The following is a 25,322-nucleotide window of genomic DNA, read 5'->3' on the forward strand; positions in this document are numbered from 1 at the left end:
ACAGAACAACTGGTTGTAGAATCATAGCAACATAATTATGAGTTGTGCTTCTGGCTCCAAATCTTTCATCTAAAAATAATCGCAGTGACCACATCTTGGGAAAACAAAGCCATTACCTATTCTTGTGCTCCAGCTATCTCGGTAGTCACTTACTGGAAAATGGATTACAGGTAAAATAACTGCATGTTTTTAGGACACTACTTGTCTCTCTTACCTTCAGTGAGTTGATTAACGAAATAATTTAAAAACTTATATTCTCCAGGCATTCTCTAAGGCATGAACATGATTTTGAAGAAATCCTTTACCATCACACATCACACAAGCCTGCCTGTGCTCCTCCAGAAACGTAGCCCTAGTACTCCTGGAAGCCCATTTTGTTCCTTCAGGGAGTATGCTTTCTTTGTGCAGAGAGGAGAAAAATGCTGGAGACAGAGATGTGGGGAGTAAGAGGAGGGACGGTAGGTAAGTCTCAGCCACAGGTAAGATGAGTGGGAACCTGTATGCTCCACTGCCCCCATGTGTACCAGCTGTTCTTTGCCCAGCTTCCTTGGGCTAGAAACATATTCAGTGAGTAATACATGAATCAACAAGATGATAGGTGTGTCATTTATCAAATGATTACTTGTGCTAGAAGTTTACAACCATTCAATTTTATTTATTTTATTTTATTTTATTATTTTATTTTATTTTAGATAGGGTTTTGCTGGATGCGCAGGCTGGATTGCAGTGGCTCAATCTCAGTTCACTGCAGCCTCAACTTCCCAGGCTCAGATGATTCTCCTACCTCAGCCTCCCAAGTAGCTGGGACTACAGGTGTGTGCCACCACGCCTGGCTACTTTTTGTGTTTTTTATAGAGATGGGGTTTTGCCACGTTGCCCACGCTGGTCTCAAATGCCTGGGCTCAAGCAATCCTCCCTCCTAGGCCTCCCAAAGTGCTGGAATTACAGGTGTGAGCCATTGCGCCGGGCCACATCCCTTAACTTTAATGATCATAAGAATCCTGCCCAGCTTATAATTCAAATGCCAGGGTACTCAGGTTCTTCAACAGACTCTAGTTTTCTTATCCTCTAAGATTAGTGTAAAATAAAAGTGCCTGATTGCCATCTCACACACTGGTGAGAAATTCTCTGTTCCTCTCCACATCTCCAGGTTTCCCTTCCTTGCCTCACATTCTGTTTTCCTACACAGGCCAAATTCTCCATGTCTCCTTTACATCCCCCTGGTGTTTGTGTTCCCTTTTGCTATATAGCCTTGCCGAATACTTGGCGCATCACCCCAATTTCTTCACTCCCCAAAGTTATCACCCACATATGATTGCTTGGTTAACAAACATTTATTTAACTTTTGGTAAAAGGTAAGGAATGTTCCACTCTGGTGCCAAGTAACAACTTAATATTGGATATTAAAACTGTATCCCCAAATAGAGCCCCAGATTCCTGGCTACTTTGCTGGACTTCTCTCTTTCCTAGGGTTGGTGCTTTCATCTCAAACTCCAGGATGCTCAAAATTATTGTTTTATTATGCAAAGCATTTTAGTTCTCTGCCTGGGGCTTCCTCCTTCATATCCAAAGCGGACCTATACAGGTGTTTTCCTAAACTTAAGAGTCCTAGAAATCAGAAAGCTATAGTCTGCTACAATTTTAAATAGCATTTACACAAGATGAAAAAACAAGTTTAGTGAAATTAAATGACTGCCCCCAAAAAAGGGTCAGAGCCTGAATTAAAAGCCTGGCTTGACTAACTCAATACTTATGCTCTTTCCACTATACCAGGATGAATACATGAGAGTCAATACCTATTGAATGTTTACAACATGTCTGGCTCTGTTCTAAGAGCTTCAGGGGCATTAGCTCATTCAATCCTCACATTAGTTAATACCCCACTTTATAGAAACAGAGATAACTACCCATAGTGGCAGCTAACACATGGAAAGGTCAGGATTAGAGCCCAGGTAGTCAGTGTCTGTGCTTCTCATCATTAACTGCTACTCTCTACCAGCCTCAAGATCCAGCTCCCTGACATTCTTTCAGTGGCTGAAAATAAGGGCAGCTTATTATCACATTTGGGATTAAGTTAAAAAAAAAAAAGGAAACAGGGGCAGCTACTGTGTGAGAGTTCAGTCTGCTCCCTGAAAATGACCCCAGCATGGTTTGGAAACTCAAAATTTCTAAAAACCCTGAGAGTACATGGGCATTGTTGGGGTCTGAAGGTATAGACTAGATTTGCTCAGTGACAAACTTAATTATAAACTTTATAATGGCTGCTTTCAAAACCAATCAGGTAATTCAGTCTTTTCTTGCTTAATTAGTTGCCACAAATTCACTCAATCCATTTAGTCAGTCAGTCATTCAAGACTTATTGAGTGTCCTCTATATGTCAGGTACTGTTAGGCACCAAGTGAAGAAAGAGGGATCCTTCGGGTCCAGACTCAGTCCTGGAGTGGCTCCAAATGTTAGAATTATGATTAGTGTTTCTTCCTATACTATACGGGATGGTGCTGAGATTCTAGATTTCGTGGCCCAGTTCTTTAGAGAAAAAAATTACTAACATGAAGAAGGGCATTAAATTGGGTCACCATTGCTTGAGGGAACTATTCCTTAAGAATATAGAACTTGCTTTGATTTTTTTTACACTCTAAGTGCTGCTCTAAGGTTTGATTTCCTGAGTGGACAAGACTATCAAGGCAAGAAGTCCCATGTAGGTGACAACTAGCAATATTTGGGCAGAAACATATCTCACTTTAATAAATGGGCATCTTAATGTAAAGCTGGATCTTAGACATGAACTAAATCAGTGGTTTTCAAACTGTGCTCCTAGGGCCTCATTTGCAATAAATGAACATTTTAAACTGCATGTGAAAACTGCATTTTTTGGATATCTGATTTATATATTGGAGTTTTGCAATTTAATTTCATTTAGGAAGAAGAAAAAAGAGCCCTTTTGCAAAATGTGAACACCTCTGAGATTTTCATTCATTTCTCTATTCACAAGGGACTAAGGCCTAGAGAGATGAAATGACTCACTGAAATGGCAGAGATAAATCGTAAACCTAGGTCATTACTCCCAGCCCAGTCCAATGCACAGATCTCCCCCTTTCTATCTACTACCCACTGTGTGTCTGGAGAGCATGGCACACAGGCCAGTGTAAATCTGGGTGAACTATGTCTTTGTAGTACTGCAAAAGCTGAGAATTCAGTTCCAAATGGTTCTGCAAAAATACTGACTGAGGACTATTTACTGTATATATGATTAAGTGCTACATAATCTACTATGTTCCTCATAATAATCCATGAGTTGGGCTGAGCAAATATCTCCCCAGCCCTCTCCTCAATTTTGCAAAAAGCAAAACAGTCTCAAAGCCGTTGACTTCTTTAAAGAAATGTATTAGTAGATAACAACAACAAAACAATCCAAAATTCCAATCTTCTGACTTTTAGGAAGACAGAGCTCTAACCATTATATTATATACTGTTCAAGCCAACTGGTAAGAATATGCAGTGCTTGTGCAGGCAGGAGAGCAATGATGTAATTAAATAGGACAGCTCCCAAAGTTGACAGGCATAAATGATGAAAGGCAAAGTTTAGATATCAACCTATGAGCCATGGACACCTGCAGAGTTTTAAAATTATTACAAAGGGACCTGAAGTCCCATAAGGTATGCTTACCTGAATAAGGTGGGTTGCACTGATATATACACCCAGACTTCAAATGGATAGAGATGCTCTTTTGTTTAATAAAGTATGCCTTCAATTAAAAGCATTACTGAAGCCAGATGTGGTACTGTGTGCCTACAGTCCCCACTACTTGCTACTCGGAAGGCTGAGGTGGGAGGATCACTTGAGCCCAGGGGTTCAAGTCCAGCCTGGGCAAAAAGCATTACTGAATTCCTAGCAATGTGTTTATCCTTATGTACTTTCAGTCAACTTTTACTAAAAGTACAAACACTATTATGTGCAACTCTGTGAAATTTTGTTGTTAAAAATGAAATCATAGTTGAAAATGTGGGGACTGTCTGTTCAAGGCTAAAATAAAGGGAACAGAACAAAATTAAGATGGGAAATAATTATTTTAAAACATATTTTGTATGTTTTCCTGTGTTTCTATTTTAAAGCTATATATCTAAATTATTGCTCTTTGTTTTCATGTTGAATGGCTGCTTCTTATCTGGCTTTGTTTATTAAGTGTGGTCAGATCATTTATTCTCAGAAAAGCTACCCTGTAGCCTGGCCCTACATTCCTCCAAGATAATATCATCTGCAGGACTCAAGTTTCTTGCCAGAGAGCTGATTTGCAGAAGTAAACAAACTGGGAGTAAAACCAAGAAATGTTAAAGAAACTTTCTGACTTAAGACATTGATAACAAAAACTATGTTAGCAATAAGTGTCTCTAAAAATATATAGAATATCCAGTCAAGCTGACCTACAGAATTGGAACAGTAAACAGAACACAAAAAGGGCTGTAAGCAATACCATCTAGGAACACAGAGGTAACAGATAGGGCTCCATGTCTGTCAGGGACTCCAGGAGGAACAGCTGTTCCCTTCTCTCAAAACAAACCATCCTCTGATGCGTTTCAGTTGCTTACCAACTCAGATCTGCTTTTGAGGAGTAAGCCAAACACACAGCCTCTGGTGATTTACCTTATAGAGGGCATTAGGGAAACTTAAAAAACAAATGTCAACTTGAAAAGGCCACATTTTATATCTTTCCTTCATCTCTGGCAGTATTCCGTTGTTGTTCCAACTACCCACCCCCTTGCCCTTCCTTACATTTGATTCTTTGTTAGATGAAGCATGGAGACAATGGAAAGCAACTGGGAAACAAACTAAACATTTCCTTCTGGAAATATTACCTACTTTTAAATAACCACTAGGGTCTATAAATATTTTCATTAGAAATTTGCCCTCCCTCCACACACACCAGTCACTTTGTGAAAAACCAATTTCTCCAAGTCAGAACCTAGAATTTATGGTCTCCTCTCATTGCACTACTAAAACCTTTCATATCCACAGTGAATCTAGGCTATTACCTCTGGAGACTGGAGTTCAGGGCCTCACTCATATATTTATCTCATGAACTAAACCCCTGTAATTCCCTGTGGAGTTGGGGTTTGGAGGCAGATGATAGAGAGGAAAGTTAGAGTTACAACCATTTGGTTCAATGTGGTAGAGCGCTGAATTGACTGTGTGATCTTAGGCAAGTCCCATAAGCTCTCTGGGCCCCAGATAACTCATGTGTAAGAGGAAAGGATCATACTAGATGACCTCCAACTTTGTATCTTCGAGGTACTGAATGGGAACCAAAGAGTAAAGGGAAGTCGCAAATAGAATTATGGATGTGGTAACTGAATTATTCCCAATTCTTCCCTCTCTCCCTGCGATAGAATTACAAAGCATTTGTCAAGTGGCTTGGCAGTACCTTCTATCAGAACGGGCAGAATATATGTAGCATTTCCCCACCTACTTCATATGGGGCTTGCCCGTGTGACTTGCTTTGACTGAAGTTAGTAGATGTGATGCAAGCAGAGGCTTTTTTTTTTTTTTAACTTTTATTTTAGGTTCAGGGGTACGAGTGCAGGTTTGTTATATAGATAAACTGCATGTCATGGGGGTTTGGAGTAAGGATTATTTTGTCATCCAGGTAGTAGGCATAGTACCTGATAGATAGTTTTTCGATCCTCACCCTTCTTCCACCCTCCACCCTCAAGTAGGCCCTGGTGTCTGTTTTCTCTTCTTTGTGTTTCCTTTTGTTGTTGTTGTTGTTGTTCCCTTCTTTGTGGCCACGTGTACTCCATGTTTAGCTCCCACTTATAAGTGAGAACATGTGGTATTTGGTTTTCTGTTCCTGTATTAGTTTGCTTCATTGTCGCACTAAGCAGAGGCTTTAAAAGTGGCTTTATTTCTTTTGCTTCTGTAATCTCCTGGCTAGCCACTGGTTCAAGAATGAGGAAAGGGGATGTTAAACTGACCAAAACCTTGAACAAGAAAAATAGACAGTTTTGTTTTAAGCTTCTAAAATTTGTGTTTGGTTATGTGGTACTATTGCAGCAGAAACACAAAAATCTCTGCTGAACTTTTTTCATATATTCTATCCAACAATATGCCTACTGACCTTAAAATTTTATTGAGCTGTTGAACTAAACTGAAATCATCTAGGCATCTTAGCTTGACCATGGAAATGTTCTCCTGATTAGCACCATCAGCAGGACGACTTTTGGTGCTGAGGATACTGCAAAACTAGAAATTAGTGTACTGAACTTTTTTATGTAAAAAAAAAAAAACACTGTGTTTTTAGCTATATTGAGAAACGATTCCTGTGAAATTGTACTGTGTTGGCTGTAAGGATGGTGGTCACTGTAACTTACAGTGTAGTCTTTGTGGCAAACTTTTGGAGAAATTGCTCTCTGGTTTCAGCAACTGGAGAAACTATGTTATCGTAAGCAATTGGTTTGTTTGAATCTTATGGACAGTGGATCTCTATCTGGTTGTGAGCCCTCTTGAATTGCCTGGAAAATTCAGAGCCAAATATGTGGCCCTACATAAGCAAGTGGATGTAAGTGACTTTGCAGCATACGTTTTGTTTAGCAACTTCCCCTCCTTGTATTATTTTCTTTTTTCTACACTTATTTTCTCTTTTTCTGCATTCCTTGTAAATTGTTATCGTTATTATGTTAAGTATTAAGTATTATTTTATCATATACATTTATGTCAGCCACCTTAAATCCTTTTGGGAGCAGAACTGAGAATACATAAAGCACTACTGTTAATAAAAAAAATTAATTTCCGTTAGTAAAATGAAGAGAGAAATAAAATTTTATCAGTGACCCCTCAACCCTTTTGTTGTTGAAACTTACTAAGGATCTGGCGTTTCTCTATTCTGAAATATCTCCAGGTCAGTGTTGTGAATAAAGCACTGATATACATTGGTACCATTTCGAATTCATCATCAAAATAAATGTAAAGACAAGCTGGGCATGGTGGTTCATGTTTATAATTCCAGCACTTTGGGAGGCTGAGGAGGGTGGATCACTTGAGGTCAGGAGTTCGACACCAGCCTGGCCAACATGGTGAAACCCCGTCTCTACTAAAAATACAAAAATCAGTTAGGCATGGTGGCCTGTGCTTGTGATCCCAGCTGCTTGGGAGGCTGAAGCACGATAATTGCTTGAACACAGAGGTGGATGTTGCAGTGAGCTGAGATGGTGCCACTGAACTCCAGCCTGGGCGAAAGAGCGAGACTCTATCCCCCAAAAATAAATAAAAGGACAAAAATTGTCTTTCTTCAAGCTGTTTGAAATAGGGAGGAAGGTTTTTCTTTACAAATAATTTGACGTATTATTCTCTTTTTTTGTTTTGTTTTTGTTTTGAGACAGGGTTTCATCTGTTGCCCAGGTTGTAGTGCAGTGGTGCGATCTCAGCTCACTGCAACCTCTCCTTCCTGGGCTCAAGCGATTCTCCTGCCTCAGCCTCCTGAGTAGCTGTGATTACAGGTGCATGCCACCAGGCCTAGCTAATTTTCATATTTTTTAGTAGAGATGGGGTTTTGCCACGTTGGCCAGGCAAGTCTCGAACTCCTGGCCTCAAGTGATCTGCCCACCTTGGCCTCCCAAAATGCTGGGATTGCAGGCGTGAGCCACTGCGCCAGGCTTGATATATTATATTATTCTTTTAATTATTAAAGTTAATTTTTTTTAATATTTGTTGAATATTGACTATGTACTCAGATGGTGCTAGCTGTTATGGACGATATAAAGATATTAATAAATAAGATACTTGAATCTTTAAGATGCCCCATGGCCAGCCATTGTGGCTCACATCTGTAATCCCAGCACTCTGGGAGGCTGAGACAGGTGGATCACTGAGCCCAGCAGTTCGAGACCAGCCTGGGCAACATGGTGAGACTTCATTTCTACAAAAAATGCAAAACTTAGCTGGGCATGGTGGCACACACCTGTAATCTCAGCTACTCAGGAAGCTGAGACAGGAGAATCACTTGAGCCTGGGAAGCAGAGGTTGCAGTGAGCTGAGATCGTGTCTCTGCACTCCAACCTGGGCAACAAAGTGAGATCCTGTCTCAGAAGAAGAAAGAAGAAAGAAGAAGGAGGAGGAAGGAGGAGGAAGGAGAAGGAGGAGGAAGAGGAGGAGGAGGAAGAGGAGGAGGAAGAAGAAGAAGAAAAGAGAAGACAATGACAACGAAGAAGAAGAGAAAGAAGAGGAGGAGGGAGGAGGAGGAGGAGCTCCCATGTGTCTACATTACAAAGACAACTTGGTTTCCTTGGGTGTAATTGAGGTTCACTGCAAGAATGATGAAGAAAGATGAGGGAGGCAATGTGGAAGGACTAGCAACCTGCAACAGAAGCATGATCTGGCCTCCTGGTTCTAGTGCAGTGCTCTAATACATCAAGAGATTAGTTGCCAAGGTTGGGGGCAGGACAAGTATAGGAAACACCAGCATAAACACAAAATAAGAGTTAAAGATGAGGAAAATAGAAACTTGAACTAGTCAGGGTCACTAGATAAAAGCAAAGAATAATCAATAGAAACAGAGCCAAATCAGAAGCTGAAAGAATGGTTCTGATTCAAGATATTCATCTGAGTTTACATGTTTTAACTACCATTGAATATCCAAAGGGATATGAAAATATGAATTGGCACTTGCTGTGAAATTTAGAAGATTTCCAGTAAAGTGTTCTATGTTTACAGGCAAATGTGCCATATAGGGAAGTCAGAGAGGGGCAAATACCAGTCCCACCAGCAACTGTAGAAAGTCCAGTAAAGATAGAGTCTACACAAGGCAATATCTCATGGCATCCCAGCTTGCCCTTCATATAGACAGCGTACTGAGTAGTATCTCAGAAACCAGTGAGAAATTCTTTGGCACAATGGTGAGGTCTGTGGGCCCTACCACCTCTGCCCTACTCCCACAGACACTTGGAATGCCGATTTATTAAAGTAACTCTGGTAAATCTTGAAATTTCCTTTCTCCCATTGACTGTATCTAATATTTCAACAGGACCCCCAAACAATTCTGAAATTAACTGTGAACTCCACCCATGGACATAAACACAATCATCAGAATAAACAAACCAATGAACCATCTTCTAGATTAAAAGACTTAGTTGTAATGTAAAAAAGGAAATTAACCAGAGGAATAAACTTAAATGACCCCACTCGTGAAAGAGTTAATAATAAAACCAAAACAAAATAAAACAAAAATCTTTAGAAAAATCTCTAAATCTTAAAAAATCTAGAAAGATGCTGAGTTACCAACAAGATTCAAAAGAACATTACACCATATGCACACCATATGCAAAATTTAACACTAAATTGATCATAGGCCTAATTGTAAGAGCTAAAACTATAAAATTCTTACTAGAGAACAGGGGCATAAATATTTTTGACCTTGGAAAAGGCAGTGGTTTCTTAGATATGACACCAAAAACACGGATAACAATAGAAACAAAGAGATTGTACTTAAATAAATTGTACTTCATAAAAATTATGAATATTTGTGCTTCAAAGAAAACCTCAAGAAAGTGAAGAGAAAACCAGTGGGCTGGGCATGGTGGCTCACGCCTGTAATCCCAGCACTTTGGGAGGCCAAGGCGGGTGGATCACAAGATCAGGAGTTCGAGACCAGCCTGGCCAACATGGTGAAACACTGTCTCTACTAAAAATAAAAAAATTAGCTGGGCATGGTGACAGGTGCCTGTAATCCCAGCTACTTGGGAGGCTGAAGCAGGAGAATTGCTTGAACCCAGGAGGTGGACATTGTAGTGAGCCGAGATTGCGCCACTGTACTCCAGCCTGGGCGGCAGGGTAAGACTCCATCTCAAAAAAAAAAAAAAGAGAGAAAACCAACAGAATGAGAGAAAATATTTGCAAATCAAATAACTGATAAGGGATTTGTATCCAGGACTTTTACAACTCAACAACAAAAAGACAATCTGATTTTAAAGCTATCTGAATAGACATTGCTCCAAAGAAGATATACGCATGACCATAAAGCAAGTGAAATGATGCTCAACATTATTAGTTATTAGAGAAATGCAAATCATAACCATAATGAGACACCATGTCACATCCTGTAGAAAGGCTATCATTTTTAAAAAAGACATAAAAGGCATTGACGAGGATGTGGAGAAATTGGAATCCTCATACACTGCTGGTGGAAATGTAAAATGATGCAGCTACTTTGGAAAAACAATTTGGCAGTTCCTCAGAAAGTTAAACACAGACTTACCATATGACTTAGCAATTCTACTCCCAGGTATTTACCCAAGAGAAATAACATGTTTACACAATAACCTATATACAAACATTCATACCAACATTATTCATAATAGCCCAAAAATAGAAATAACTCAAATGTCTGTCAACTCATAAATGGATAAACAAAGTGTTACACACACACCCACACATGCACTCACATACAAGGGCATATTATTCAGCAATAAAAATGGAGTGCTGTTACATGCTACAACATGGATGAACTTTGAAAACATTATACTAAGTGAAAGAATCCCGACACAAAAACCACATATTTTATGATTCCACATAAAATATATACACTTTATATTATATATATTGTCTATATATATAGGCAAATTCATAGAAACAGTAGATTAGTGATTGCCAGGGGTTGAGGGAGGGGGCAATAGGGAGTGATTGCTAATGACTATGGGGTTTCCTTTGTGGATGATGAAAATGTTCTGAAATTAGATAATGTTGATGGTTGCACAACTCCAAAAAGGTACAACCATTAAAAACCGCTAGACTGTGCACTTTAAAAGTGTAAATTTTATGGTATCTTAAAAAACTATCAATCATTTAAAAATTACATTTTAAAATAGGAACAATTTAAGATTAGAAAAGATTCCTTTTGAAATAAAAATAAGATTGCTAGAATTAAAAAAAAAAAATGACATGGAAGCTGGGCACAGTGGCTAACCCTTGTAAACCCAGTGCTTTGGGAGGCTGAAGTGGGAGGACTGCTTGAGACCAGAATTCAAAATCGGCCTGGACAACATAGCGAGACCCCAAGGCAACCCAGTAAGACCCTGTCTCTAAAAGAAAAAAATGAAATGGAAGCAGTAAAGAGCAAAATTGGAAAGTGACAAAAATCAAATCAGTGAATTTGAAGAATTCAGAGAAAAGTGATAAAGGAGTGAATAAAATGAGAGAAAAGATGATGTATTAATGGAAGACGATGATGGATCTAGAATATCTGATAAAAGATTTCAAAGAGAATGAACAATAATAAAAGAGATAATTATTTCTAATTTCCCAAAGAAGATCAAGCCAAGTTAAGATCCAATCAGGTGAAGAGTTGTTTTTTGATTGTATTGTATTACTATTGTTATTGTCGTTATTACTATTTTTTTTACTATTATTAGTCAGCTTGAAATGTCTATTTTTAACTGACAAATAATAATTGTATATATTTATGGGCACATTATCATGTTTTGATCTATGTATACATGGTGGAATGATTAAATCAAAGTAATTAGTAAAGCCATCACCTCACCTACTTAACATTCTTCTATGGTGAGAACATTTAAAATCTACTTAGATTACTGAAATTTATTCCTCCTATCTAACTGAAACTATGTACCCTTTGACCAACATCTCTCCTTTTCCCAACCCTACCCTCATCCCCTCTCTAGCCGTTGGTAAGCACCGTTCCACTTTCTGCTTCCATTAGTTTAACTTTTTTTAGATTCCACATTATCATTGACTTCATGCAATATTTGTCTTTCTGTGCCTGGCTTATTTTACTTAGCATAATGTCCTCCAGGTATAAACCTGCATATTGTTGCAATGACAGAATTTCCTTCTTTCTTAAGGCTGTATGGTATTCCATCATGCTTATATACCACATTTTCATTATTCATTCACCCACTGACACTTCAGTTACTTCCGTATCTTTACTATTGTGAATAGTGCTACAATGAACATTGAAGTGCAGATATCTCTTTGACATATAGATTTCAAGTCCTTTGGATATATACCCAAAAGTGGGATGGCTGGATTATATGATGATTCTGTTTTTAGTTTTTTCATAAGCCTCCATATTATTTTCCATAATGGTAATGCTAATTTACATTCTCATCAACAGTGTACCAGGGTTTCCTTTTCTCTACGCCCTTGTCAACCCTTGTTATCTTTTGTCTTTTTTTAAATGATAGCCATTCTAACCGGTGTAAGACGATATCTCATTGTGTTTTGAATTTGCATTTTCCTAACGATTAGAGATACTGAGCATTTTTTTTCATTTCTCTGTTGACGATATGTATGTCTTCTTTTGACAAATGCCTGTTAGCTTCAACTTGTTGCCTAGAAAATTATGGAGTCTACTTCATGTTGTATTACAGTAGAACATTAAGGTATGATCCTGGAAATCAGGGTCCCAGCTCTGTTACTTATCACTAATGTAGCTTTGGGCAAATCATTTCACCTCTTTGGGACTCAAGTTCCTCATCTGCTTAAAAAAAATGAAAGGAAAAGCTTGAACTAGATGACTTTAACACAATTCCTTAATCAAAAGATATGAGCCAGGAGACAGATAGAAAGTAAGGCAAGAAAGCTAGACAGCAGAAGATAATAAGGAAGTCCTTATCTACCAGAACTAAAATTTTGAGGGTGACGTGAGAAGGGGGCGAGCTGTACAAGCAGTCCTGACACTGTCCGTAGTCCTGAAGTGTCATTATTTTGTCTGGCTGCCAGTTGGAGGAGTTGGGAATTGCTTAGGTAAGCAGTATGGAGATCTGACAATTTTAGCGCAGAACAGTGAAACTGAGCTCATTCACATCTGTGTATTTAACTACTACAGATTCTGATGATTCCCAACCCTATATCTCTAGCATTGACCTTCATCCTGATCTCCCAATACATGTTTTCCACTGTCTACCAAGTATTACCAGCATTTTTACTGTATTGAATTTACTTCAAACTCAACAGGTACAAAAGTGAACTTATCATATTCATTAATGATCCTTCTTCTTCTCCTGTATTTTCTATCTTGATTAGTGATACCAAGATGTATCCCTTTCCCCAAGCCAAAGAACTAGGAGACTTCCATGATTTTACCATGCCCACCACCTATAGTCAATCACCAAGTGTGTCCTGCCAATATTGCCCATAAATACATCTTACATTCATCTCTTTCTCTCTACCCCACTGTGGATGGATTTATTTAGGTTATAAATGTTTCTTGGTTGGACTACCATAACATCCTCTTCAATAATCTTGTCTTCAATTTTGCACCCTTCTAATTTACATTTATGATCAAGCTATTTCCCTGCTAAAAGCCTTCCCTGGCTTTAGTTGTTTATAGCACAAAATCCAGGTTACTCAGAATGGCATTCAAGGACACTTCATAATTTGTACAGGGAAGAAAATTCTGAAACAGGATATTTATTAGGGAGTTCCCAATGGATCAACATCTGTAGAAAAATGGAGAAGGAAACAGAATTAGGTAAAAGGAGAAGTTGAGCTATGATCCAGCCCCAATAAAGGTTGCTCAGCCCACCCGTTGGGTAGCTCTGGAACTGGACTGGCTGCTCAGAATTGTTCCAAGTTGGATCAAGTGGGAGCCACGGCTTTGTAAAACACACTGGTCATGCATTGGATGCAAGATGTCTTTGGAAGGAAGAAAGACTTGGGTAATGCTACAATTTGAGGGTTGTCTTCTGGCATCATTGTCAGAAACTGGGAGAATAAGTCCTTCATTCCCAAAGGCAGATCTCAGCAGCACATCAGAAAATCCACCAGCCACCGTATATTTGTCTACCTCTACACATCCTCCTCTGTACTTCCTTGACTCTCTGCATTTACTTTATCATACCATTTACTGAACTCTATTTTATTGCCTCTTTACTTTTCTGTATTCTTCACTAGACTGTGAACTCTGTGCAACAAATGCTGCTACTATATAAATCATTGCTTTATCCTCAATGCTTGCAGCATTAAACAATTTATAAAATAAAACATTAAGCACTTTGAGAGGCTGAGGCTGGCAGATCATGAGGTCAAGAGATCGAGACCATCCTGGCCAACATGGCGAAACCCCATCTCTACTAAAAATACAAAAATTTTCTGGGCATGGTGGCAGGTGCCTGCAGTCCCAGCTACTTGGGAGGCTGAGCCAGGAGAATCTCTTGAACCCGGGAGGTGGAGGTTCCAGTGAGCCCAGATCGTGCTACTGCACTCCAGCCTGGCAACAGAGTGAGACTAAGAAAATATTAAATGAATGAATGCATATTTCCTTTCTCCCCACTCTTTACTCCCTGTTGCTCTAGTAAAACCAAACTACTTGAGGTTTCCTGAATTTTCCAAGCCTTTCTTTGAGGCCATGCTTTGGGTGTGCTAGAATGCCTTTGACTTAGTCATCAGCTGAATATCTACTTCTCTTTCAAAAGTCAATTCAATTGTTACCTTTGGAAAACTTTCCCCAGGCACAGTCACAATCTTCATTCTCTGTTTCCTGAGAACTCATTTTGTACCAACTATTATACTCCTATTATTTTTAATTTACATGTCTGATTATTTTCAGGAGATATGAGACCTTGAGCCTCATCTATTTTGTGTTCTTAGCACCTAAAGAGACCTGGCACAAGATGAAGAAAAAAAGAATGAACAATAAATATGTGATTAAAGGTTAGGCTCTAGGATTACTAACCAGGAAGTAATGTGCAGAATGAACTAAAAGGAAAGGAGTTATATGGGAGAAAATTGTTAGTTTATACAAGAGGCATGTGACTGTGGACACTGGATTTGCTATAATTCCTTATTCCTGAAGTTAGTTTTTTCCACATGCAAATTGAAGAGCAGAATGATGATATTAGCATAGTTGTAACTTTGCCTAACATGTCTTAGTCATGTAGTGTCCCAGTCTACTTATGCAATGCTAGTGTAAGGGTGTCAAAATCAAATGCCTTCAGGGGCCAGGAAGAGTACCTAAATGTCTAAATGTTCGGTGGGCCTATAGGAAACAAAGGGCCCACTTGAGGGGCATTCAATTTCAGTTTTTAAATAATGTGGTCACCAAACAGAACAAGTGTTTGGGCCTGACATGGCCTGCAAACCACCAGTTTGCCTCCTCCTCTTTTACACATTTTGAAATCACATTTTTTTTTAACTACAATGGAACTGAGTGGGAGGAGATATGAATGACATTTTCATCCTTGCAGAAAAAGAGGGTGTTTCTATATTTCTAATAAAAAAGTAGAATTATTTTTGAAGTGGCTTCCTTCTCTGCCAGGAAGCCAGGAAATCAGATTAGAAATTTCATTGGCATTAAAAAAAAAAAAGATGGCAGGGTACAGTGTCTCATGCCTGTAATCCTAGCATTTTTGGAGGCCAACGCAGGAGAATCACTTGAGGCCAGGAATTTGAGACCAGCCTGGGCAACACAGTGAGACCCCCACCCCAGCTCCAAAAAAAAATTTAAAAGTATTCTGGGCATGGTGGCATGAGCCTGTAGTCCCAGCTACTTGGGAGGCTGAGGTGAGAGGATCACTTGAGCCCAGGAGGACAAAGTTGCAGTGAGCCCTGGTCATACCACTACACTCCAGCCTGGGGAAAAAAAAAAAAAAAGAATCTTTCCTTGGTGTTGCTTTTTTTTTTTTTTTTTTTTTTTTGACAAAGTTTATTTTCTTCTTATTAAAAAAAAAAATCTGTTAACATATTTCAAAAATATAGAAAAGTTCAAAAATAATCCCTCAAAATTCCAACCAGTGAACAACCTTGACTATCATTTTAGTTTATGCATCAGATATTAGGTGGGATTGTAGGACTGACATGTGTACTCAGAACTAGGTGGCAGGTAAGCAGGAAAGCAATTTATTTCTAACCAGCTGGGTTTCTGTAACTAATGATCTAACACAGCTAATAAAGACATTCTGGGCAGGGCACAGTGGCTCACGCCTATAATCCCAGCTTTTTGGAAGGCTGAGGCAGGCTGATAGCTTCAGCCCAGGAGTTGGAGACCGGCCTGGGCAACATGGCAAAACCCTGCCTCTACAAAAATACAAAAATTAACTGGTTTGGTGGCACACACCTGTGTGTCCTCTGCTACTCCGGAGGCTGAGGTTGGGGATCACTTGAGCCCAGGAGGTCGAGGCTGCAGTGAGCCAAGATCATGCCTCTGCACTCCAGCCTGGGCGACACAGTGAGACCTTGTGTCAAAAAAAAAAAGACACTCTGAGATGACTCTAAAGTGCCTGACTAAAACCAGATAGCCACAGGGCCTGACAACGAGGAGGAGTTTACTGCTGCGCTACTATTGCTGAAACGGAACTTGGTTTTGAATCCACAACAGAACTATTGTGCGTGTGACATTTGCTTTGAGAAATGAATACTGGGTTGACAGTACACAAGAGCTTTTCAGTCTAGTCCATAAAGAACTTTCACTTGATTGCCAGCTTTTTACCAGTAATTCAACATAGAAAAGTACAGTTTTTGACCTTAAAACTTTGAATGCAATTCCTAAAATTAAAAGATGTGGATTTATATAAGTCAAATGAGAAGACATTACAATAAACAGAGCCACAGGTTTTGTTTGTTTGTTTTTTACAGGAAATTGTGTTGTGTTTACATTTAGAGCATTCTGTGCTGAGGTATTCTCTGGCTCATATATAGAATCATAAGGGAGAGAGGAGTTGAGAAGTAGTTCCCTAGAAGAACTAGAGAGAGAGATGTAATTATCCCTGATACTAATTAGCAGAGATCTGGAATGAAAAAAACCTCAATAACCTCATATTCAGACGATTTTTTCAACATGTTCATTATTAATAGTAAGCAGACCTCATGTTAATTTTGAAGAACACTTAACAGATTTCAAAATATCTGAAGTTCCTCTATTTTTTTCCTAATGAATTTTAAAATTTTTGTAATTTTTAAAAATAGTATTTTGGACTTCCCTCGAAATTTTCCTGCAATGTCACTGGTATATTTGGGGATAGAGTTTTAAGAATATCCCCAGTGAGGGTTTAGAAAAATTTAATTCATTATAAATAGATCTATTTTACCTTAATTATTATTCTATTATAATTATTTCTTTTTTTTTTTTTTTTTTTGAGACAGAGTCTCGCTCTGTTGCCCAGGCTGGAGTGCAGTGGCACAATCTGCAACCTCCACCTCCTGGGTTCAAGTGATTCTCCTGCCTCAGCCTCCCGAGTAGCTGGAATTACAGGCATGCCACCATGCTTGGCTAATTTTTTTGTATTTTTAGTAGAGACGGGGTTTCGCCATGTTGCCAGGCTGGTCTCAAACTCCTGACCTCAGGTGATCCACCTGCTGTGGCTGGGTGGGATTACAGGCGTGAGCCTGGGATTACAGTGCTGGGATTACAGGCGTGAGCCACCGCACCCAGCCTGTTATAATTACTTCTAATCATAATATTTCTTACTTACAGGCCACCTCATGTTCAGACCATTTTTTCCATATGTAATTAGAAATATAAAGCCTGTATTGCACTTAAATATCATTATACTGTTTTAACATATTTTCATCTACATTAAAATTCACTTTAAAATTATTAGTCTTAGAAAAACAATCAAAGAAAAATAAAGTATGGTGTCTCCAAGGTTTTGGATATTCTAAAAGGAAGTAGCTGTTCTTTCAAGCTAAATATCATAAACTGATTTTATTAAATAAGGTCTTACATTTTGTAGTGGCAGCAGTTTATAAATACAGGCTTACTAATTCATTGCTTTCTTTTATTCATTAGTTATGTTTTGGTACTTTATTTAAGTACCCGAGTGGATTATACTAGATGCTGCGATTCAGAAACACAGGCTGTCTACAGGTGAGACACAAGTTTCACCTCCAGGGGTACACAGTTTAATTGCAGCAAAATGTTTTAAAGAAGGAATGCTTCACTGTGGAAAAAGGAAACAAGTGGCTTGTTACCCAAAGAGCACAAGGAACCCCTCCACTGTTGAGTTGTTCACATTTTCTTGGTTTATGCTTCAGGTAGAGGTAAGTGAAGCTTCAAATAATATTATGCCCTAAAGCTTCAAACTGGAAGAAAAAAAAAAAGCCCTTGCACCCCTGAAATATGCATGCATGCCTGAGCATGCACACACACACACACACACACACACACACACACACACTTTTACCTTGCTCTAAATTTTTGCTCATGTACTTAGTAATAAAATGTTATTTTTAGAGTTCACAGCCCCAATATGGAAATGTGTCTAGAGCTTGGATCTAGAAGTTTATGTCTTTCTTGAAGTTCCTGGGTCGTAATAACCACAGTGAGGACAAAGGCACCAGAACAATGCCAAACCAGGAGATATGGCCTGAATTAGAAGGAAGACAAGTTTTTATCAGGCATAACAATGAAAGAAGTTGAAACCATGGAGTTATTATTAAGAGAAGTTGTGGAGTAGTTATTCCTGGTAGCCTCTAAGTAGCAGTTGGTCCTAAATCACAAAGGTGTGTATTTTTCTAGAGATTCCAGACAAGATAATTTTGAGGGCTCTTATACTATGATTATAAAAACCTAATAACTATGTTTTAATGTAGTGCATTGTGTTTTTACCACTTAAGATGGCAGTGATTTCATCAGACAGCTTTCTTTTGGGGAGACTTCCAAACCAATCTTTGGGGGAGAATCTAATCTCTTTTTTGCCAAGCTGGTGAGGTTTTCTTCCCCCACATTGAATGTTTATATGGAAAGATATGAACCATAAACATTTTTATATAAAAACTTATTCTTTTTGCTTTTTATTGGCTGCATTGTAAGGAGTCATTTGGCCTAGAGGGAAAGGAGGGTAACATTCCCTATGGCAAACTACAACGAATCTTCCTTCTCCTTTCCCAACTCCAGCAGTAATGATGGAAAATCAGTGCAGCATCCTAGTGCATTCGCAGTGTGGTTTGACAAAGACCATAATGTTCTTGTCAACATAGGTAACAGATCAATGTCCATCTGTAGATTCCAGTACTTTTTCTTACTAAGAAGTGATTAACAGCTGGATGTAATATGTCTACTACAGCTACCTAGTTTTGTAAAGCATATAGTTAATTAAAGGGCAGGAATCAAAAACATGATCAACTCTGTAAAAGCCCTGAGCTTACTCAGCTGCTTCTTGCAAACTTCAACCTGTGGGGTAAAGAGACATTTGTTGGGTCATGGCATGCTTGCCTCTGAAGAAGATCATTTCAAAGACTGGGCCTTTTTTTCTGGTAGCCTAGATGCAGGACACAGAGTTGCTCATTTTGCCAGAGTCTCTTTTTGCCTTGCCAAACTGACTTTTCTTTCAAAAAACTATGTGGAAAATTAATGTGTAACTTTTCAATGATAATATTTTCTCTTTGTTTGGTTTTCCCCAATGATTTCATATCTATACTAAACATCCATCCCAAATAAGTTACACAGGAAGTGGAGGCCAAAGCTAAAACAAACTCACACCCATTTCTCTGGCAACCTATTTAAAAAATAGCGATTAAAAATCAAAACATTAAACATAACCCTTTCTGGCGAGATAACTCTCCCCTAGGTTACATTAGAAAACACCCCCCTACGTTTACATGGCATCTTTGCTGTTTATGATCTTAGTTTTCATTATTGTGGCCTAACAAAAATGTATAAAGCTTAAAGACCAGCTGGAGCAACATAGCAAGACCCGAGCTCTACAAAAAATTTAAAGCATTGGCTGGGCATGGTGGCGCATGCCTGTTAATTACTAGGGAGGCTGAACTGGGAGGATGGCTTGAGCAATCCTCCTATAACCAGGAGTTCAAGGTTACAATGAGCTATGATCACATCACTTCACTCAGGCCTAGGCAACAGAGCCCGACCTGTTTCTAAAAAAGAAAGAAAGAAAGAAAAAAAGGTTTACAGATATTTTGACACTGCAAAGAAATCTCATAAATATCTCATAAATTATTAGTGACCTGCAGGAAATGAAAGCTCAGCGTTGCTTCTTTTTTCACCGCTCCTGATGGGGCTGAACAGTTTCTTTACACCCTTGAATGCAGTCTGTCGTGGCATGTGGGTGTACATCCTTCTCTCTTAAGACAAGATGTAATAGTAACCCATGATCTTGTAATCTCACATAACAAGGCATTTTGATCTGCAGTCCTGGTTGTTTTCTTTAAGCTAAATTTTATTTTTTATTATTATTTTTTTTTAGAGACAAGATCTCACTATGTTGCCCAGGCTGGTCCTGAACTGCTGGGCTCAAGTGATCCTCCCACCTCGGCCTCCCAAAGTGCTGGGATTACAGGTGTGAAGCACCGCGCCTGGCCCCTTTAAGCTGAATTTTAAAGGAACTTAGAATCTCATTCTCTTACATTTTTATAACCAAGAAATGAACCCTGACGGTAAAGACTATTAATATACTAATTATTCCCAGCATTATACACTTCATGTGAAAGGCAGATGAAGAAAATGAAGAACCTGTCTTCTGTTCAACTAAAAGGGAAATTTAGCTTTACTTAGTTGTATCTGTAATTGTCCTTTTGTTTTTAAGAATATAAGAATATAAAGAATATAAATAATTGCAATAAAACAACATAAGAAGTTGACCAATGGAACAAGAATAGTATAGCACTTAGTAAGATGTACAGATACTATTTTAAGTACCTTGTTTTAAAGTTAAGTAATGACAGCCTCCAGTTAATAAACCAGAAATAAACTCTAACCATTATTTCTTGGATTTCAGATATTTTTTTCTTTATAGAAATAATGTGATGTATAGTGTTCCTTTTACTGGGTCAGCCAACAAAAGTATTTACGTTGATATAAATAAAATACTTTTTGTAATCAAATATTCTAGCTCACAATGAAAAATAATTTTAAAATGTGATTATTTAGTACAAGTAAACAAACTTTAAAAATACAACAACAAGATTTTTATTTTTCATGAAATAAACAACAGTGAGTAGAAGGAAATTTTGAGGATGTTCTTGAGAAGAACTTTTTGACACTTTAGAAATTGATAGACAAAGCACAACTTAGACTTTCCTTTCACTTGATACTAATATGCCCCCAATCCTGTTCTCCCATCATTATAGTTATTTTTAGGGGTCACAAATGGAACAAACATAAAGAAAGAATGAGGGATGACAGTGGAAAAAATGGAGGTGGAAAAGAGAGGAAGAAAGGAGAAAAAGGAGGAAAAAGGTAGTAAAAAATGTTCTTGAAACAGTTGGCAATAGTTACAAAAGTGAGACGAAAAAGTGCACGGGTTAAAGATGATAAAAACATTGCTTAAGGAAGAACCAAGCAACCTGAGAGTTCTGAAAATAGGGGAAATGGGGAATGCTTGGAATGTGTATGATCTCCCCAGAGGAAACAATGTTGAGAAAGAAAGGAACTCGATTCATTCCCAAAGTGGGCCACTGGGTGACCATGAAAGGCCAGCGCAGCCTGGTGCTCTCTTGACCAAGGGAAACGTGGGTTGGAGGAGTAACTTCAGGTAAAATCAAGGTCTGTGGAGATGGAGGGTCCATGTGCTCGGAAGATATATGTTCTAAATGTAGCAACACATGTTTTTTTTTTTTTAGAAACAACTTTATTGACGTATCATTTAAATACCTTTAAATTCACCTGTTTTAATTGTACAGTTCAATGATTTTTGGATGTACTGTTGTGCAACCATCACCACAAACCAGTTTTAGAACATTTCTCTCACTCCAGTAAAATCTCTCCTGCTTCATTACACTTACTCTTTGTTCTCACTCCCAGTCCCAGGCAATCACTAATCTGCTTTCTCCATATATAGATTTTCTTTTTCTAGATATTTTATATAAATAGAATCATGCAATGTGTGGTCTTCTGTGTCTGTATTCTTTCTCTTAGCATGTTTTTGATGCTATCCATGTTGTAGCATGTGTCAATATTTATTTTTATTATTAAATGGCTTTCTATTCTGCTTGAAGATAAACACATTTTGTTTTTCCATTCACTAGCTGATGGTCATTTGAGTTATTTCCACCTTTTGGCTATTATAAGTAATTCTGCCAAGAACACTTGTGTGTTGAGGTCTTTGTGTGGACACCTACGTGCATTTCAAGCAAAACGTAACTAAGAGATCCACCTGCTCATGGAAAAGACAAATATTTAGGCCTGTTGTGTTCTACAATTCTAGGATCCAAAACTTCACATACACACTCTCCACATGGCAACCAGAATGGACTTTTTAAAACAGAAAATCAGATCACATCTCACCTGATTAAAATTTCCCAGAGGTTTCCCATCATACTGAGAATGAAGCCTACATGCCTTTCCATAGCCACAGGACTCTACCTCATCTGACCTCAGCTGACATGTTTCACTTTATCTCGTAACCACTTCTCTTACTCTCAACTTCACTCATATTGATCTTGTTGCTCCTCAAATATAAAAGCTTATTCTGACCTCAGGGCTCATACATAGTCTGTTCCATTTGCCTGGAATACTTTTCCCTAATATTCATTTGACTCAATCCTTCTCATCCAGGTCTCCCCTCAAATGTCATTCATGTAGAGAAGCTTTTGATGGCTGCCCTATCTAAAACAGCAGCCATATCTCTCACAATACTACCTTTGTTTTTCTTGAGACAGAGTTTCACTCTTGTCACCCAGGCTGGAGTGCAATGGCGTGATCTCAGCTCACTGCAACCTCCGCCTCCCAGGTTCAAGTGATTCTCCTGCCTCAGCCTCCCAAGTAGCTGGAATTACAGGCACCTGCCACTGAGAGACAGGACTAGCTGGATTTCCTAGGCTGACTAAGAATCCCTAAGCCTAGCTGGGAAGGTGACCGCTTCCACCTTTAAACACGGGGCTTGCAACTTAGCTCACACATAACCAATCAGATAGTAAGGAGAGCTCACTAAAATGCTAATTAGGCAACAACAGGAGGTAAAGAAATAGCCAATCATCTCTTGCCTGAGAGCACAGGGGAAGGGACAATGCTCGGGATATAAACCCAGGCATTCGAGCCGGCAACAGCAACCCCCTTTGGGTCCCCTCCCTTTGTATGGGAGCCCTGTTTTCACTCTATTAAATCTTGCAACTGCACTCTTCTGGTCCGTGTTTGTTACAGCTCGAGCTGAGCTTTTGCTCGCCGTCCACCACTGCTGTTTGCCGCCGTTGCAGACCCACGACTGACTTCCATCCCTCCAGATCTGGCAGGGCACCTCCTGATCCAGCGAGGTGCCCATTGCCACTCCCAATCGGGCTAAAGGCTTGCCATTGTTCCTGCACGGCTGAGTGCGTGTGTTCATCCTAATCAAGCTGAACACTAGTCACTGGATTCCACAGTTCTCTTCCATGACCTGCGGCTTCTGATAGAGCTATAACACTCACCGCATGGCCCAAGATTCCATTCCTTGGAATCCGTGAGGCCAAGAACCCCAGGTCAGAGAATACAAGGCTTGCCACCATCTTGGAAGCGGCCCGTCGCCATCTTGGAAGCGGCTTGCCACCATCTTGGGAGCTCTGTGCGCAAGGACCCCCCAGTAACACCACCACACCCGGCTAATTTTTGTATTTTTAGTAGAGACAGTTTTCACCATGTTGGCCAGGCTGGTCTTGAACTCCTGACCTCAGGTGACCCACATGCCTCGGTCTCCCAAAGTGCTGGGATTACAAACATGAGCCACAGTGTCCAGTCCTCTGTTTTATTTTTAACTGAAAAGTCTGAAACTTATTGCTTGCTGTCTCCCAAACAGAATGCAAGCTCAGTGGGGCAGGTACTTTGTTTATCTTTTTCACTGATGTATCTCCAGCACCTAGCATATGGTAAATGTTCATTAAATTTGTTAAATTAATGCAGAAATGAAAAGCAGAAATTGGACCTCTTCTTACAGTTCTATACTTTATCCCTAGAATTTCTGAGAAGTCAGTTTGATCATGCAATGTATTCAGTTTGTAAATTTATATTTTTATTTATCTATTTATTTTCGAATAAACCTTTTGCAGTCTTATCAGTTTGTGAATTCCTAAGCCAACTGACCACAAGTCTAATACTGACAAATCATGGGCCAGATTTGGTCCTCACATCTATCTGTTTGATGTAGCAGGTACGTTGGAGCCTCCTTTCCATTTCTTTGGCCCACTCCTATTTCAGCTGCAGCTGCAGTGAGAGTTCCCTAGGAGCTCAGGCTCACCTCATTGACAGGATCACACCTCAGGCAGCTAAAGAATTATTCCATTTTTCTGCCTTGGGCCTCTCTTATGCCCTAGAGCCATTGGGCATGTGTGTGGACCACTTCCGGACCATGTTTATGTTCCCCAGTGCAAATATCAGCCATCAGCCAACATGGGAACCACCTTCATCCACACTTCCTTCAAATGGAAAGCTCTGGAAGACATTTACACTTCCCAGTAGTCCCAGCAGAACTGATGCGCTCTTCCCTTCAGCAGAGACTTGAATAACACCTTCTTGTACTGACTTCTCCTGTGTCATACTCCCTGTTCCTTTACTTATGTTTTCTGGGATTACCTCGCCACTACACACAATCTGCAGCCAAGTCTTTGTCTCAACCTCTGCTTTCAGGGGAAGCCAAATTAGGCCTATGAGTTACATCATTAAAAAAATTTGTAAAATAATTGTTCAAATTTAAGCTTGAAATATTTCAAGTTAAATTCTGAGTTCTTAACTTCCTACTTTAAGGTGCTGCATGTAACTTCACATACAATAATTTTTATGGTTCTTATTTGGTAAGGAAAATTATTGTCCATTAGCTTGTTTTCAAAACTTCAACCTTTCAGGTGTTCATAGGTCATTTCAAGTGTTTTGTGAGGAAAATGGTCTCAAAATCTCTAGTCTGTTAGGAATGAGAAGAGATGGGGAATTCTTTTTACTATAGAATGTAGCAGGAAAAAAATTTAAGGAGTTTTTTGCTTCATTAGATTTGCTGTGGAATGAGAAATCAATAAATTAATGACTACAGTGCTAAAATAAATAATTGATCAGTGCTTGTGAATATGATCTCCTCTTCATTACTAAACCAACTCAGCCTTATCGTTTCCAAGCTAAGGTAATTGTAACCTGCAACCAGCAGAAGAACCAACCATTTTGTTTTGGTTTGAAGCCTCATGAGTACAATTCGTTCATTCAAGCATTTAGTAATATTAATAAAAAGAGATGAATTGCAATAGTGATGCATTCTTGCCTCTTCACAACATGTTTTGCTTATAAGAGGACATTATCTTCCCCCCTTCAGTGGAGTCAGTTATTTGCAGTTCTTGTCCCAGGTATAGTTTTACATGCTAATCCCTGCCTGCTTTTTTTTTTTTTTTTTAATAGGGCTAGGGTCCCACTATGTTGCCCAGGCTGGTCTGGAACTCCTGGCCTCAAGCAATCCTCCTGCCTTGGTGT

At 39.1% G+C, this 25,322-nt stretch overlaps 1 protein-coding gene and 1 long non-coding RNA gene across 10 annotated transcripts in view; one reads left to right on the top strand and one right to left on the bottom strand.

Annotated features, from left to right (window-relative positions):
• The window catches only part of CEP85L (centrosomal protein 85L), a 249,318-nt gene that overhangs the window by 203,917 nt on the left and 20,079 nt on the right, over positions 1-25,322 (bottom strand). The gene's annotated exons all lie outside the window — the stretch shown is intronic.
• On the top strand, positions 119-24,906 carry LOC124901388 (uncharacterized). Of its 3 annotated transcripts, none has more exons than XR_007059728.1 (3): positions 119-462; positions 17,733-17,983; positions 18,177-24,906. It is a non-coding gene; the product is annotated as an uncharacterized LOC124901388 (long non-coding RNA). The 3 variants fall into 3 exon arrangements; XR_007059726.1 differs by having other exon boundaries at positions 119-170; positions 263-462; positions 17,733-24,906; XR_007059727.1 differs by having other exon boundaries at positions 17,733-24,906.

This window comes from Homo sapiens, chromosome 6, assembly GCF_000001405.40.
Source record: "Homo sapiens chromosome 6, GRCh38.p14 Primary Assembly".
Classification (NCBI taxonomy): Eukaryota; Metazoa; Chordata; class Mammalia; order Primates; family Hominidae; genus Homo; species Homo sapiens.